Consider the following 15,603-nt stretch of genomic DNA (forward strand, 5'->3'; position numbering starts at 1 on the left):
GCTGAGACGATGGGGTTTTCTAGATATACAATCATGTCATCCGCAAACAGGGACAATATTTGACTTCCTCTTTTCCTAATTGAATACCCTTTATTTCCTTCTCCTGCCTGATTGCCCTGGCCAGAACTTCCAACGCTATGTTGAATAGGAGTGGTGAGAGAGGGCATCCCTGTCTTGTGCCAGTTTTCAAAGGGAATGCTTCCAGTTTTTGCCCATTCAGTATGATATTGGCTGTAGGTTTGTCATAGATAGCTCTTATTATTTTGAGATACGTCCCATCAATACCTAATTTATTGAGAGTTTTTAGCATGAAGCGTTGTTGAATTTTGTCAAAGGCCTTTTCTGCATCTATTGAGATAATCATGTGGTTTTTGTTATTGGTTCTGTTTATATGCTGGAATACGTTTATTGATTTGCGTATGTTGAACCAGCCTTGCATCCCAGGGATGAAGCCCACTGATACTTTCCAAGATTCTATAACAAATTTGCAGTCTTCTGAAATCATCCTCTCTAAAGGGCCCTCTCTGTCCTTTAGGCAAACATGAAACTGTGACCAATGTTATATTTACTTTCAGTCATATATGAACATAACCAAACACCTGAGTTAACAGGATTTGATCTTTTTTAGCACCTGCTACTCTCATTTGCCTTACTTCTGTTTTTGGAAGCATTTGAATTCCATGCCGACTCTCAACCTGCTCATACAGATGTATAGATAAAATGCAATTAGCCTCAGCCAGCTAGAATAGCTGAGGACAACAATGGAAAATCTTTTTGTACAATGCAATGAATTATCAATAATGGATGATTACATGTCCCACTGGTCTGAAGGGAATACTGATTCTGCTGTATCATAAGAAGCAATTTCTGGTGTCAAATGAGGTGGAGAATGTGAGCTTTCATCTATAGTTTACATTTTTGTACTGAGCCCATCAGTGTTGATTTATGGGAAGTGATAGGGACATTTCCAAGTTTGTGAAAGGAGGGTTAAATTCATTTGTCAGAAAGACAAACCAAATGGGTTCCTAATTAAAAACACAAACTCAAAAGATAAAAATGTATGCCCGCTATTTATCTGTGCCATGTATTCAGTATGGCAAAGCAATCCTATGCTGAAAGTTGTTAAATTACTAATATACAGGTTGCTCATTTGATTTGGTAGAATTTGTGATGTTCTGCAAAGAGAAAGCCTGAGATGCAAGTTGTTTAACTGATTTATGTCAAGAAGACCTGAGGATGCTAATCTTTCTTGCTAGGTTGGGGAAGTTCTCCTGGATAATACCCTGAAGTATGTTTTCCAACTTGGTTCTGTTGTCCCTCTCTCTTTCAGGTACCATGGTCAGTTGTAGGTTCGGTCTTTTTGTGCAATCCCATAGTTCTCGGAGGTTTTGTTTGCCCCTTTTCATTCTTTTTTCTCTAATCTTGAGTGCCTGCCTTATTTTAGCAAGATAGTCTTCAAGCTCTGAGCTTCTCTCCTGTTTGGTCTATTCATCTACTGATACTTGTGGTTGCATTGTGAAGTTCTCGTGTTGTGTTTTTCAGCTCCATCTAGTCATTTATGTTCCTCTCTAAACTGGTTATTCTGGTTAACAGCTCCTGTAATGTTTTATCATGGGTCTTACCTTTTTTGCATTGGGTTAGAACATACTCCTTTAGCTCAGCGAAGTTCATTATTACCCACCTTCTGTTAGTTCATCCATCTTAGCCTCAGCCCAGTTTTGTGCCCTTGTTGGAGAGGTGTTGCAATCATTTGGAGGAGAAGAGACACTCTAGCTTTTTGAATTTGCAGTGTTTTTGCATTGATTTTTTTCTCATTTTCGTGGGTTTATCTCCCTTCCATTTTTGAGACTGCCTACATTTGGATGGGGTTTTGGTGGGGTCATTTTGTTGATGTTGTTGTTGTTGCTTTCTGTTTGTTTGTTTTTAACTGTCAGACCCCCCTTCCATAGGGCTGCTGCAGTTTGCTGGGGGTCCACTGCGGAGGCTATTAACCTGGGTCCCTTCTGCACCTGGAGGTATCACCAGTGGAGGCTGCAGAACAGCAAAGATGGCTGCCTGCTTCTTCCTCTGGGAGCTCTGTCCCGGAGGGACACCTACTTGATGCTGGCGGGAGCTCTCCTGTGTGAGGTGTCTGGCGACCCCTGTTGGGAGGTCTCACTCAGTCAGGAGGCACGAGATCAGGGACCCGCTTGAAGCAGCCTGGCTACCCCTTGGTGGAGCGGGTGTGCTGTGCTGAGCGGAATCTCCTCATCCGGACTGCCCAGCCTCTCCAGAGCCAGCAGAGGGGAAAGACTAGGTCCGCTGAACTGCAGAGACAGCGGCCACCCCTTCCCCCAGGGGCTCCGCCCCAGGGAGATCAGAGCTCTGTCTGTAAATCCCTGGCTGGAGCTGCTGAAGTTCCCGCAGGGAGGCCCTGTCTAGCGAGGAGGGATGAATGTGGGTCCCACGTAAAGAAAGAATCCGGCCACAATCTGCCACAGCCACTGTGTTGCGCTATGAGAAATTTCTCTCAGTCCAAACTGCCCAGTCTCCCTGGCCCAGCAGGGAAAATGGCCCACTGGGGCCACAGTGATGGTGGCCGCCCCTCTCGTTGGGAATATGGTCATCTTAGGTAGTTTCCAGCATGCTGCTGCTGGCCTCCCGAGTGGCCACCAAGAGTTTGCACAGTTCTGTGCTTGGGACCCAAGGTCCTGGTGGCATGGGCTCACAAGGGGATCTCTGATCAGTGGGTTCCACAGATCTGTGGCAAATGCGTGGTTTCCCTGGCAGGGTAGCACAATCACTCACTGCCTCCCTTGGCTGGGGGTGGGAATTCCTCTTACCTCGTGCAGGTCCCGGGTGGGCTGTCGCTCCACCCTGCTTTTCGTCACTCGCCATGGGTTGAGCCAACCTCCTGGTCAGTCCCAATGAGAGAACCTGGACACCTCGGCTGGAGGTGCAGGATTCACTCACTGTTTTCATTCTTCTTGGTGGGAGCCGCAGACCAGAGCTCCTTCTAATTGGTCATCTTGGCCCCTTGATTCTGCTAATCTTTCAAGGACAAGACTAGTGGACTTCCTTTAGGAACCTCCAAGTTTGAGTAAAATCACTTGAGCTTCAAAACATAGAGCAAGTGCTGAGTTGACTTCATTCTCATTGTTGCTCCCTTCCTCTCTTTCTCTTTCTCCCGTTTCAGACATTGAGCTGAGTGTCAGCGCTACTTGTTGCAACTCCAGCCTAAAGGTTCTAAATTTATCCTTTGGAGACACATGGAACAAGTATGAAGTAAATAGCTTTGCATAGAAATGAAGATATCTCATACATCTCTTCTGATATTTCTTTCTTTTTGAATATCTACCTATGTATCTTTCTATGATCCATCTAACTCTTCATTCTTTCATCCATCCATTACTATTTCTATCTCATATCCACCTCCACTGTCACTAATGTCTTACACATCTCTCCAAAGTGCAGATAAAAACAAATATAAATGTAAGTTCATATTTTTCTTTTCTTTTATATAAAAGGTAGCTTATTAGTCACACTATTTTGCATGATTTTGTTGTTTTTAACTCTCTAATTCAGCAAGAAGATTTATTTTCATCCTTCAGAGGCAGAGTATTCCATCATATGGACACAACACATTTTCCATGTTTTATTTTTCAGAAAAAAAAACTATGTTGGTTGGACATTTGGGTCATTCCCAATCTTTTTGTGTTACAAACTTAATGCTACAGTGAATAACTTGGTGTATATGTTATTTTGTGCATGTGTATCTGTAGTGTGACATCTCAGAGGTGAATTGCTGGATGAAAGAGTGAATACATTTATAAGTTGGATAGATAGTGCCACATTCTTTTCCAGAGGAGCATTTTATGGATGTTTACTCCCTCCTGGCAGCATACAGAGGGCAGGGACGCAGAGGAAGACTGCCCCCTGGTGCAGGTAACAAGGCATTATTTGTACAAAACAACATGGATGAAGCTGGAAACCACCATTCTCAGCAAACTAACACAAGAACAGAAAACCAAACACCCCATATTCTCACTCATAAGTGGGAGTTGAACAATGAGAACACATGGACACAGGGAGGGGAACATCACACACCAGGGCCTGTCGGGGGGTCGGGGGTTAGGGGAGGGATAGCAATAGGAGAAATACCTAACGTAGATGATGGGTTGATGGGTACAGCAAACCACCATGGCACGTGTATGTATACCTATGTAACAAACCTGCACGTTCTGCACATGTATCCCAAAACCAACTGAAAATTGGTGTGCTTGTTATTGATACCATGAATGGGAAATTCTACAGTCAATGATAAAATATTTCTTACCAACCCCCAAAGTATTTGATTAGCCTAAATTCTAGGTAATTGCTGCAGTCACTGTTGGGTTTCAATAATCTACATGCAATCAGTACATGGAAGTTAATTGGGAGAACCAATAGTCATACAGTTGGCCCCTTCAGACTCGGGTACATTTTTGTGTTGTGGAGTAAGAGTGAGAAGGCTCTGGAATCAGACCAGACAGGTTCCTGGGGGCTCACTTCAAGTGCAGTTCATGTCTTCATGTAACCAGCTCAAATCCAGCTGCGCACCGCTCAGAAGCCGAAAACAGGAGAAACAAGGTGTGGTGAAAGGAAAGCAACTTTATTCAAATGCTAGCAATTGGGGAAGGGCCAGGCTCATGCCTTTAACAGACTATGTTAGTCCATTCTCACGCTGCTGTAAGGACATACCCGAGACTAGGTAATTTATAAAGGAAAGAGATTTAATTGACTCACAGTTCTGCAAGGCTGGGGAGGCGTTCAGAAAACTTACAATCATGGTGGAAGGGGAAGCAAACACAGTCCTTCTTCACAGAGCAGCAGGGAGAAGAAGAACGAGTGCCCAGTGAAGGGGGAAGCCTTTTATAAAACCACCAGATCTTGTGAGAACTGACTCACTATCACGAGAACAGGATGCGGGAAACCGCCTCCATGATTCAAATATCTCCACCTGGTCCTTCCCACAACACGTGGGGATTATGGGAACTATTAATACAATTCCTGATGAGATTGGGCTGGGGACACAGCCAAATCATATCACAGACCATCCCCACTTTTTGGGCCAAGTGAAAGGGTTTAAGAAGGAAGAAGGTGTGGGGAATACTCAGGGGTGGTGCAGGAGTGTGTAGGCCTGCGTGCCTCATTCCCATAGCTATCTTGAGTAATCACCTGTCTGGAGGTCCGCATTACCTCATTCTGACTCCGCCCAGTAGTGGTGGGCTAACTTCGTAATTCTCCTGGAGAAGGAGGATTCAGCAATTGGGTCTCTCTGCCTGGTTTGTTTCAATGTTGGCCCCTGGAATTTCTAAGCAAGCCCATAATTAGATAAGAGAGCACTGTGAACTGAAGTGGCTGGTGGGAAAGGGAGGAACAAAGAGTTTCAGTCTGTTTCAAGGCTGAAAGCAAGAAAGGAAAGAAAAAGTTTTAAAATGCATTTTGAGGCTGAGATACTCAGTTACATTAGCAACTTCTTCAACTATTGACTGATACTAAATTTTGAATTGGCCTAAACCCCTTTGAATGGTGGCCTCGGTTGGCTATGACATCCACATTTTGCCACAAGAAAAATCAGATTTTTGTACTCAATTAAGAGTACATTATTTCATGTGTACATTTTGTTTTATTAGATTTCTGCCATCATTCTGGCTTGTTGAGATTATTTTGGCTTTTGTTTCTGGCACCTGCAGTAGCCTCTAAGGGTTTCAGCATCATATTAGTGGCAAATTTGGAAGGTCAGAATTACCCATCCTCATTTTGATCACTGAAAAAAGAAAACTGAATGCCAAGGCCAGAACCTTGGGGCAGATCAGGAGATATTTTCCAACAGCTGGCATTATCCCATTAGTCAGAACTCTATGGGAAGGGCCCTTAACACACCTTTTAGTGCTTTATCATTATTTGGGAAGAAATACATGCTCATTATAGAAAATTTACAAGATATAGGAAAATATGAAAGAAAAAATAAAATCCTCCCTCCAGAAAAGACACTGTTAACATTTTCCTTTTTTTTTCCCCCAGACAGAGTCTCGCTCTGTCACCCAGGCTAGAGTGTAGTGGTACAATCTTAGCTCACTGCAACCTCTGCCTCCTGGGTTCAAGTAATTTTCGTGCCTCAGCCTCTCAAGCAGCTGGGACTAGAGGTGCATACAACCATGCCTGGCTAATTTTTTGTATTTTTACTAGACATGGGGTTTCACCATGTTGGCCAGGCTGGTCTCGAACTCCTGACCTAAAGTGATCCTCCTGCCTCGGCCTCCCAAAGTGCTGGGATTGCAGGTGTGAGCCACTGCACCCAGATGACACTGTTATCATTTCAGTGTCTTCTTCATAATATGTACCAGCATTGTCTAACACACTAACTAGTAGCCATGTGTGGCTATTAAGCTCTTGAAAACATGGCTTGTCAAAATTGAGATATGCTATAAATGCAAAATACACACTGGAGTTTGAAGATTTAGCATGAAAAAATGTAAAATAGCTCAAAAATATTATATTGATTCCATGTTGAAACAATAATAAATTACATTATTAAAATTAACCTGAGTTGTTTCTTTTTACTTTTTAAATGTGGCTGCTAGAAAAATTAAAATTACATGTGTGGCTCATATTATATTTCGTTTGGACACACACTCATTCTCTATTGTCTATACATTAGACCTTCAGGGTTTGTCTATATCTCAGTGATCCTGAAGGCCCTTGACATGGATGGGAGCATCTATGTGCTTATTTAGGTATGTGTCTGTGCCTCAGGGAGCAATGTAAAAAAAAAAAATCAAACCCCACCCCCCAAGGAAGAACCTCCCCACCATCGTAGTCTGTGTGACTCTGGTAGAGCTGAATCCACACCTGGCTCACAAGTCATCCATACCTGGCCAATTGGCATAGTCCACTCTCCAATCAGCACTGGGCGTGTGACCAAAGTGGGTTAATTACAGCCGGTTCTTGGACTTCACCAACTGCTGGAGAAGAGACATGCTTTTTCTACTGTGGTAGCCTACAGAATAAAAGTCTGCATCTGCTGCTGACCATTGCTAACCACACATGGAGGGTGGCTGCCTAAGAAAGAAGCCAACAGAGAGGGAAGCAGGGCAAGAGATGGAAGGGGACAGACCACCTTGTCTGGGCACCTGGATACAGCTCTGCCTGAGGCTGGAAGTCTCTGGACTTTTCATTATAAGAATCAACATATTCTACTTTCTGCCATTTTCCACCCATAATTTCATTTCTGTCGCTTGCAACCAGAAGAGTCCTGACTAGTACATACACTATGAGGCGTTTGTGTGAGACCAAATGTTTTAGCTGGTAAGAGAGCATGGCAATGGCCCAGCATCTGTAGGTCATTGACATTGACTCTCTTTACTCATTTTGCTCATGCTGCTAACTGCTCAGAAGTAACAAAGACGTCATTTCCTGGTAATTGTTCCCTCCCCATACACCTGACCCAAACCAATTGCTACACTGATGACATGAGTGAGGAAAAAGTAAAGTGTTCTAATGTTGTATTATATCTTTATGCAGTTATTAAATATTATCAGCAGAGATGGAAGCTACTGAAGATATTAGGCCATGTCCCTCAACCAAGTTAAGGGTCCACTTTACCATTACTTGTTTCTATTTGTACCCATATGCATATTATATCCATATTATCATGTCTAGATCTATTTGAGGCATGTTGTCTGTAAAGGATATTTATGAATTTTTAATTCACAGTTGTATTATGAACATTTTCCCATATCAAAAACATTTGAAAATGTAATTTGTAATGACTGATGCTATTCAATTATGTTAACCTAGTAACATTTCTCCTCCTTCAGTAGATTTTGGAAGAGTATTTCTTAATATCCAGTTGAATTTTTAATTGTACATTTTATAGTTTCATTGCATCAAGAGTGTTAAGTGTGGCTCCTGTGATTCCTACTTTTTGGATCTTAAAGTTTAAGATGAATTTTTACAACTGATTGTAACTTGAAAATACGGATGTTATCCTGCAAAGGACAAAGTTTGGTATGTATATTTGTCTACTTGCACACACAGACATAGAGATCTGTTGATTCAATAATTATTTCAACTCCTTAAAGTCTCTTATTTAGTGGTCGTATCTGTAATGCATCGGGAGTGCTGCGTTAAAATCTCACAGTATTAAGGGCAGTGCCAATGCGTAGCTTTGGGAAGGGCTTTTATTCCTTTCTATCCTCTATCAGCCACTGACTTCCGAAATTCCAAAGAAACGTACAACCTAAATAAAAAACCTGCTTTGCTGTGCACATACAGCTTCAAGATAAGTCCCCCAGGCTCTTCTTCCAACTATAATGCTACTGTCAAAACCCTTCTTTATGGATAATCTGAAGCCCATTGCAATTGTGATTCTGCAAATTGTTGAAAAATCATTGAAGAAATAGCTATTGAACACCTGCTATATTTTAGCCAATGGACAAGATTTAATTCCTCTTTATTTGCCAAATAAATTTAGCTTTATATATTTTTTGTCATTTTGCATATAGTTTCATGACTATGTCCTTTGTTGTTCATTATACCTCTCAATTTAAGTGGCTTTCCACCTCCTCAATTAATTGTACCAGTTATCAATATTATTGATATTATTATTAAATATAAAATATTAGTTTTTTCCTCTGAACTCCCAATATATTCTTCATCATTCTGCTTTATGTTATGAGAAGACCCTGTCAACATCTGTAGGTAATATGTATTTGGTGCTGCTGTTTTAATGAAAAATTTTTCCATCTTTATTAAACATCCTGCCGCGTACTCAGCGGTTTTCCTTTCAGCAACACAGCCGATATGATCTGACTCCATTCAAAGCCCTTGCTGTCACTGTAATACCCTTGGTATTCACTAACTGGAGACTTCTACTGAATAAGTAACCAACAAATATTTATTGAGGTCCTTACATGTGCAGAGCACTATTTGGGGGAAACGCGGGACATGATATAAATTCATTGATTCTCAAGGATTTACTATCTGCCAGCCTCTAACCTTGGTATTGTGGATACCAAGGTGAAGACAGGCATGCTACTTTGAGGATCTGAGGGAAGGGTGAGGACAGGAACTAAACTCCCCACAGGCTCTCTTGTCACCAGGAGAACAAAGAATGATGAGGATGGAAAGGGAAAAGGGAAGGCTTTCCTGTTGCAGGGAGCTTCTCAGCCTGCCTGTGGCCTTTGAGGGTGGGGATGGCTCCTCATCTCTGGGGTCTTGGTGGCCAGCACAGAGCTCAGCAGGAGCAGATCCTTGGTATTGTTACCATATCAGGCCAGAAACGAAAGTGTCACATGGTGAACCGAATGCCTCTTGCTGGGCAAGTGGGACTTGGACCCTTCTAAGAGAAGTACGAGGGACATCCAGGTGGGACACACCCCACTGCGTCCCCAGAGAGTACACTGCTGTATGCCAGTCTCTGGAAACTGACTGACCGAACACTGTGACCAAACAGGCAGACTCGACAGGCATACGACAGATTATGACAGGTCAAAGGTAGTGGAATGATTTGGGTTTTACAGCCTTTTATTCCTTTAGATGAGTGATTTCAAAATCAGAGGGTCATAACTTGAAAAGCGATTGAGATAGAAAATGGAAAATGTAAAAGAAATGATTTGTGCCTGAATGGGAGTGATTCATGGGCTGCTATTTAGTTTTTAATTTCCAGCAAGCTTGCCTAATCTAACTTCCTCTGCCATCAACTGAAATATTAAGTGTAATTACATCACATTTATTCCTAGAGATATTAAATAAAATGGAGAGCTCGAGAGCACGTTAATATGCACTCAGAGTGTGGTCTGCAGTTTAATAAGCCTAATTTAAAAGTACTCAGGCCGTGGCATTTATTTTTTAATTAAGTAAAAGAAGAACTTGGATGTATTCTCTTCAGCAAATGCATGTCCTTCTTCAAATAAACCTGTATGGTCCACTCCAGCTGTATGCTATAAAAATGCATACCTCCTAATATTTAATACTTTAGTTTCTCATTCTGTGAACAATAATACACAAAAATAAGGCTGAGAGATTGTCTAGATGGAAAATCACAAAATCCCTAAATGTCAGAGCTGGAAGGGGCTGAGATATCATTTCATTTCCTCCCAATACTCCCAACCCCCATTTCACAGAGGAAGGGTTGAACCTGGATGTGAGAAGTGACTGACTCAAAGTGGACAGAATCCAGCTCTGCAAGGCCCATGCAAAATGAGAGGGGGAAAAAAAAGGGATTTGGAGAACAACAAAATTCTCAGTTCAAACGAAAGCAAGAACAAAACAGGGCTTCTAATTCAAACCCTGAAACGTTTTGTTGAAGATTAGTTGTTAGAGCAACTCAAGAAGAATTTTCTTTTAGAAATCATTGATTTCATTTGAGGCCATTTGTTTTCCTTCTTTAATGCTCTCAAGCATGAATTTAATATCTTTACTCTAAAACAAATAGCTTCTGTAAGGCTCAAAGGACAAGGAGATATTGCAATCCACTGAGTCCAATAAGATCATTAATTATTTTGCTGACCATTAAGCACTGGTCCTCTGAGTTGATTGAAAAATTATGGGCTGCAGAACGTAATCTTCAGCACATCCTGTGTTACAGGAATCTGTTACCCATTCGCTGAGTGGATTGCCAGTCTTCAGCAGACCCTTCACCCACCTGTTCCTCAGTGTCATTTCTGAGCACTGTTTGAAACTTCATCTTTCCTTTAGCTTGTCCAGGTGCTCAGCCTTCAGGATTTGTCAGTATTTCCCGGGCTCTGGGTGTTTCTCCCTGGTCTTCACTTGGGCTCCTACTTCCTGGTCTGACATTCACTTCTGACTGTCCACACAATCCCAACAGCCCAGGCTTCAGAAGAACTTTTCCTTAAAACCCTGTGAGCACCTTAGAAGAGAAAGTCTGTCCCTCCAAGCTCCGTACCTGCCCTCCCTGACCCCAGCTCTGTTCCCAAATGACTATTACAGACATATGTAGACGGTCACAGTGAATTAGCAGGTGGGGAGTTGGGAGCATTCTTGTGAATTGCCTCTTATTTTTTATCTTTCTACAGTACAGATATTACAATCACACCCCAGGATGCCTGATTGCTTTAGAATAGCCCACAGATAGTGGCTCCAACACTGAAAGCTTCACAACAAGCCCTCAATCTTAAAGAAGCTCAGGGACTTTTTAGAGAGAAATAAAACAGAATCAGAGAAGAAAGACTGTCTGAGTAATCACAGGGATTCTTCCAGGAAGCACTCAGCCCCAGATACACAATTTTTCCTTCTTTAAATCAAATGAGAGAAATGTCTTCCTCCATAGAAGTAGGAATTCTAGCACAATGCAAGTGAAGACAACCAAGACCCCATCACACTGAGTCATGAACAGCTAAGAGCAAGAGAAATTCAGCTGGGGAAACCTACACGGCCGAGGCAGTTTCTGTTCTTGGATCAGATCATACTTAGCTCATGTGCTGAGCAAAAGGCTGAGAATGCTCTGTCACCAAATGATCAGTTCTGATGCTGCCAGCCCATTAGGCCAGCTTGGGAAGCAGGAGCAGATGACGTGGGTGGAAGAAGAGTCATTCAGAACAAGGGTGATGCAATAAGCCAAGGGCCATGAACAGAGCTACTGTCTGAACCTCCCCTGGGTGAGAGGACAAGAATTCCCCAAGGAGGAGGGATTGCGAGACCAATGCTGCCGCTGTCTGGCAACAGGGTCTCCTCAAATGAATTCCACATCACCCAGCACAAGTTTAGGAATAGGCTTTATTTTGGAAAGGAGGAACTTACAAAGGTAAGATCAGTAAGAGAAGAGGCTGGACGTCCCCTCTCCTCCCAAGGCCCTGGCGGAGAGGGTTCTGGGCAGGGTGCTTTGCCAGGCACACACACACAGTGAGGTGGGGGGTGTGTTCCTCAGGCTCCTGCTGGCCTCTTGTGTAGGACATGGGCGAGCAGCCTTGGAGCAAAGGACTCACACACTGCTTTGACCAGCACTGTGGATTGGGTGTAGCTGTCAGAGGAGTTGTTTCAGTTCATTTGGGCTGCTGCAACAAAATACCATAGACTGGGTGGCTTATAAACAATAGAAATTTATTTTTCACAGTTCTCTAGGCTGGGAAGTCCTAGATCAAAGTACCAGCAGATTCTACGCCTGGTGAGGGCCCCCTCCCAGGTTTGGCTGTCTTCTCGCTGTGCCCTCAGGTGGTAGAAGGGGCATGGCAGTTTTCTGAGGCTTCTTTAATAAGGGCATGAATCCCATTCATGAGAGCTCTGCCTTCCAATGTCCCCTCCTTTAAATGCCATTGCCTTGAGGACTAGGATTTAACATATGAATTTCAGAGGAGCATAAACATTTAGTCTACAGCAGCAGTTGTCTGGAAATGTGGCTCCTAGAACCTGGGAATCTTAGATCCCATGGAAGCTGAAGCCGCCTGTTCTGCATACAGCTCCCAGTGGACCCTGGTCCTAGTTCTGGGCAATCAGAGTGAGTCCTTGGATCATTTCCTGACCCTCCCTGTCCCTATATCAGTAAGTCAGGGTAGCCACCTAGAGTGATGGCAGTTGCCAGGCAGGTGATTTGACAAAGAGCCCTTGTAGGAAGCATGGGGATTGGAAAGCGTGAGTTCTGGTCAAAGGGGACAGTCACAAAGAAGCTTGGGCTCATTTTTGTCATGTGCAAATGTGTGCCCAATGTCTCCAGAAAATTGGGTTTTACAAAAGAAAGCTTATTTCCAGATATTTTTTAAAAAGTGGACTCAATTGAGACCATCCTGGCCAACATGATGAAACCCCGTCTCTACTAAAAATACAAAAATTAGCTGGGTGTGGTGGCATGTGTCTGTAATCCCAGCTACTCAAGGGGCTGAGGCAGGAGAATCACTTGAACCCAGGAGGCGGAGGTTGCAGTGAGCCAAGATGGCACCACTGCACCCCAGCCTGGCGACAGAGAGAGATTCTGTCTCAAAATAAAATAAAATATAATATAATACAAATAAAAAGTAAAAAGAGTGGACTCTACTAACTTTGTATGTTATTAATGAATTCATTTTTTGTAGCACGGTGTGGGCCTAACAGACTCATCTGTGAGCTGGATGCAGCCTCTGGCTGCCAGTTTCAGCCTGTCTTGTAAATTGTCATTTGCAATGTGTTTTAATTCAACAAGCATTTGCTTATTATTCATTTTTGCAAATTTCATTTTTCTCCTGCAAACAGAGATACTAATCTATTCTGCAATTCCATAGGCTTGAGGGTGAGGGAGAAAGTTGGTATTGTCTAGAGCAGAGTTTGGCAAACATTTTTTGTGGTGTAACTCTTTTTTTTTTTTTAATGAAATCTTCTTCACTTGAGACTCCAATACATAAAGCACATAAAAGTGATAAATGGGCTCTTTTATTTCCATAGTGGAAATTGACTTTTTTCTCTCCCCCGTTATATAAATAATACATGTTTGTTGGGGGAAAAATAAAACAATACATAACAGTATAAAGAAAAAAGGGGGATGGGGCAAGCCCGTGAAATCAGACCTCCTGGCAGGGTCACCATTAACCCTTCCAACCATCATGATTTTGTGTATGTCCTCATGCACACACATATCTGTGTACACACACACATAACATTTACACAAGTGGGATTGTGCTGCATTTACTGTAGACTTCATTTTAAATGCTCATTTAGGTTCTCATTTTTTTTTTGCTTGTTTCTCCCCCTCCTCTCTTCTATCTCTTCACTCACTCTCCCCACTTCTCTCTTTACACCCCATGCCCAATATATGTTAAGAACCTAATGGGTATTTTTCCATTCTGCTCTCTATGTCTATGGTGTCTATGTCTATGTCTGTGTCTGTGTCTGTGTCTATGTCCCTATGTCTATGTATCTATGCATCTATCTGATCTATTTACGTATACCACGTGTGTGAGTAAAATCAGATTTGAGGGATCATTGCTTTTGAAAAACAAATGAGATAGCCTCATGCATACTACCCTGAACATTGCTGTCCTCAGTCAACATGGAAACTGATGCACAAACTCATTTGCTGCTACACAGGTATTGTATCCTGCATAGTATATTGATGCACCTTATTCAACATCCCCTTTACTGACACACATGCAAGTTGTTTCTGGTTTGGAGCCACTACAAATACACTGTAATAAACATTCTTGTCCATAAAATTTTATGTTTTGGTGCATTTTTTTCTAAGGTTAGAATCCGAGAAGTGAGATTATAGGATCAAAGAGTATGTTTTTAGTTTTAAAACATATAGTCAGATTGTTTTCTAATGATTTAAAACAATTCCCTGGCTTCCCTGAATGCTTACCAGAAAGATGGTTTACAATTCATTTTAATTTTCTCAGTCTGGTGGGCTGAAAATGATAATACACTATTTGTCTTGCAATTCTCTGACTTCAAAGGGTTTTGAATATCTCTTCGTAGGCTGATTAGCCATTTGGCTATGCTTTTCTGTAATGGGTATTCTTAGCCTTTTAAAAATTAATTTGTACATTATAGATATTAATTTACTATCTACCATATGCATTGAATTTTCTCTAGTCTACCATTCATCTGCTGAATTTATGATATCCAGCTTCTCTGTGAAATTGCAAATAGAAATCAGTTGCTTTCAGTTTGAAATATTTTACCATGTAAAATTAAAATGTATATTTAAAGGAATTTGCTTATCTTTTATTAGTTCTGATTCTTTGTCTCATTTAAAGAGGTTTCCTCATGACTATATGGATATGTGGTGAGAAACAATAGGAGCAATAGTGGTTATTGATAACTAGCTGGCTATTGCTATACAACAAATTATGTCAAAACTCTGCAGCTGAAAAGCAACAGCACTAGTTGTCTTGAAGTTCTGTGGGACAGAATTCTGGCTGTGGCTTAGCTGAGTCCTGCTTGTGGGTGTCTCACGATGCTGCAATGAAGCTGGAGGCTGGGGCTGTATTCATCTCCTGGCTTTACTGGGGAAGGATCTCCTTCCAAGCTCATGTGGTTGTAAACAGGATTTAGTTCCTTGCTGGCTGTTGGCCACAGATCACCCCCACCCAGGCCACCCTACATGGGCCTCTTCATAGGGCAGCTCAGTACAAGCAAGCAGGAAGGGTTAGCGAGAATGCTAGCCAAGAGGAAAGTCATAGTCATAGTCTTCTATAGCTGAATCTTGGAGGTGACATCAATCACTTTTGCTATATTCTATTCACTGGAAGCAAGTCACCAGGTCCAGCCCACACTGGGGAGGAGATTACATAGGATGTGAATACGAGGAGGTAGGACCCATCGGTGGCTGTCTTAGAAACCTGTCTGCCAGAGAGAGAGAATTACGTCAGTGTATGCGCTTCTGTTTTTAGAGGAAGATAGTTTTGTCCTAAAGTAGTTGTTCATGTTTGGCTTTTTGTTTGTTTGTAGACCTCTAGACTTTAAATTGAGTCACTTTTTAAAAAAAATTTATTTATTTTTAGAAACAGGGTCTTGCTCTGTCACTCAGGCTGGAGTGCAGTGGTGCAATCATAGCTCACTGCAGCCTCGAACTCCTGGGCTCAAGAGATTCTCTTGCCTCAGCCTCCTGAGTACCTGGGGCTACAGACACATGCCACCACTCCCAGCTAATTT

General features: G+C 42.2%; 1 long non-coding RNA gene across 1 annotated transcript in view, besides 1 other annotated feature; it reads right to left on the reverse strand.

The window, feature by feature from the left end:
* LINC00927 (long intergenic non-protein coding RNA 927) overlaps positions 1-15,603 on the reverse strand; it is a 78,738-nt gene that overhangs the window by 42,994 nt on the left and 20,141 nt on the right. The window lies entirely within an intron of this gene.
* Positions 11,736-12,236: an enhancer, noted in NCBI's record as "H3K27ac hESC enhancer chr15:80610139-80610639 (GRCh37/hg19 assembly coordinates)". NCBI's record gives its function as "activates a minimal SCP1, AML or CMV promoter by ChIP-STARR-seq in primed H9 embryonic stem cells {active_cell/tissue: H9 hESC(primed)}" and the evidence as "EXISTENCE:reporter gene assay evidence [ECO:0000049][PMID:30033119]".

The sequence above is a fragment of the Homo sapiens genome, chromosome 15, assembly GCF_000001405.40.
Source record: "Homo sapiens chromosome 15, GRCh38.p14 Primary Assembly".
Classification (NCBI taxonomy): domain Eukaryota; kingdom Metazoa; phylum Chordata; class Mammalia; order Primates; family Hominidae; genus Homo; species Homo sapiens.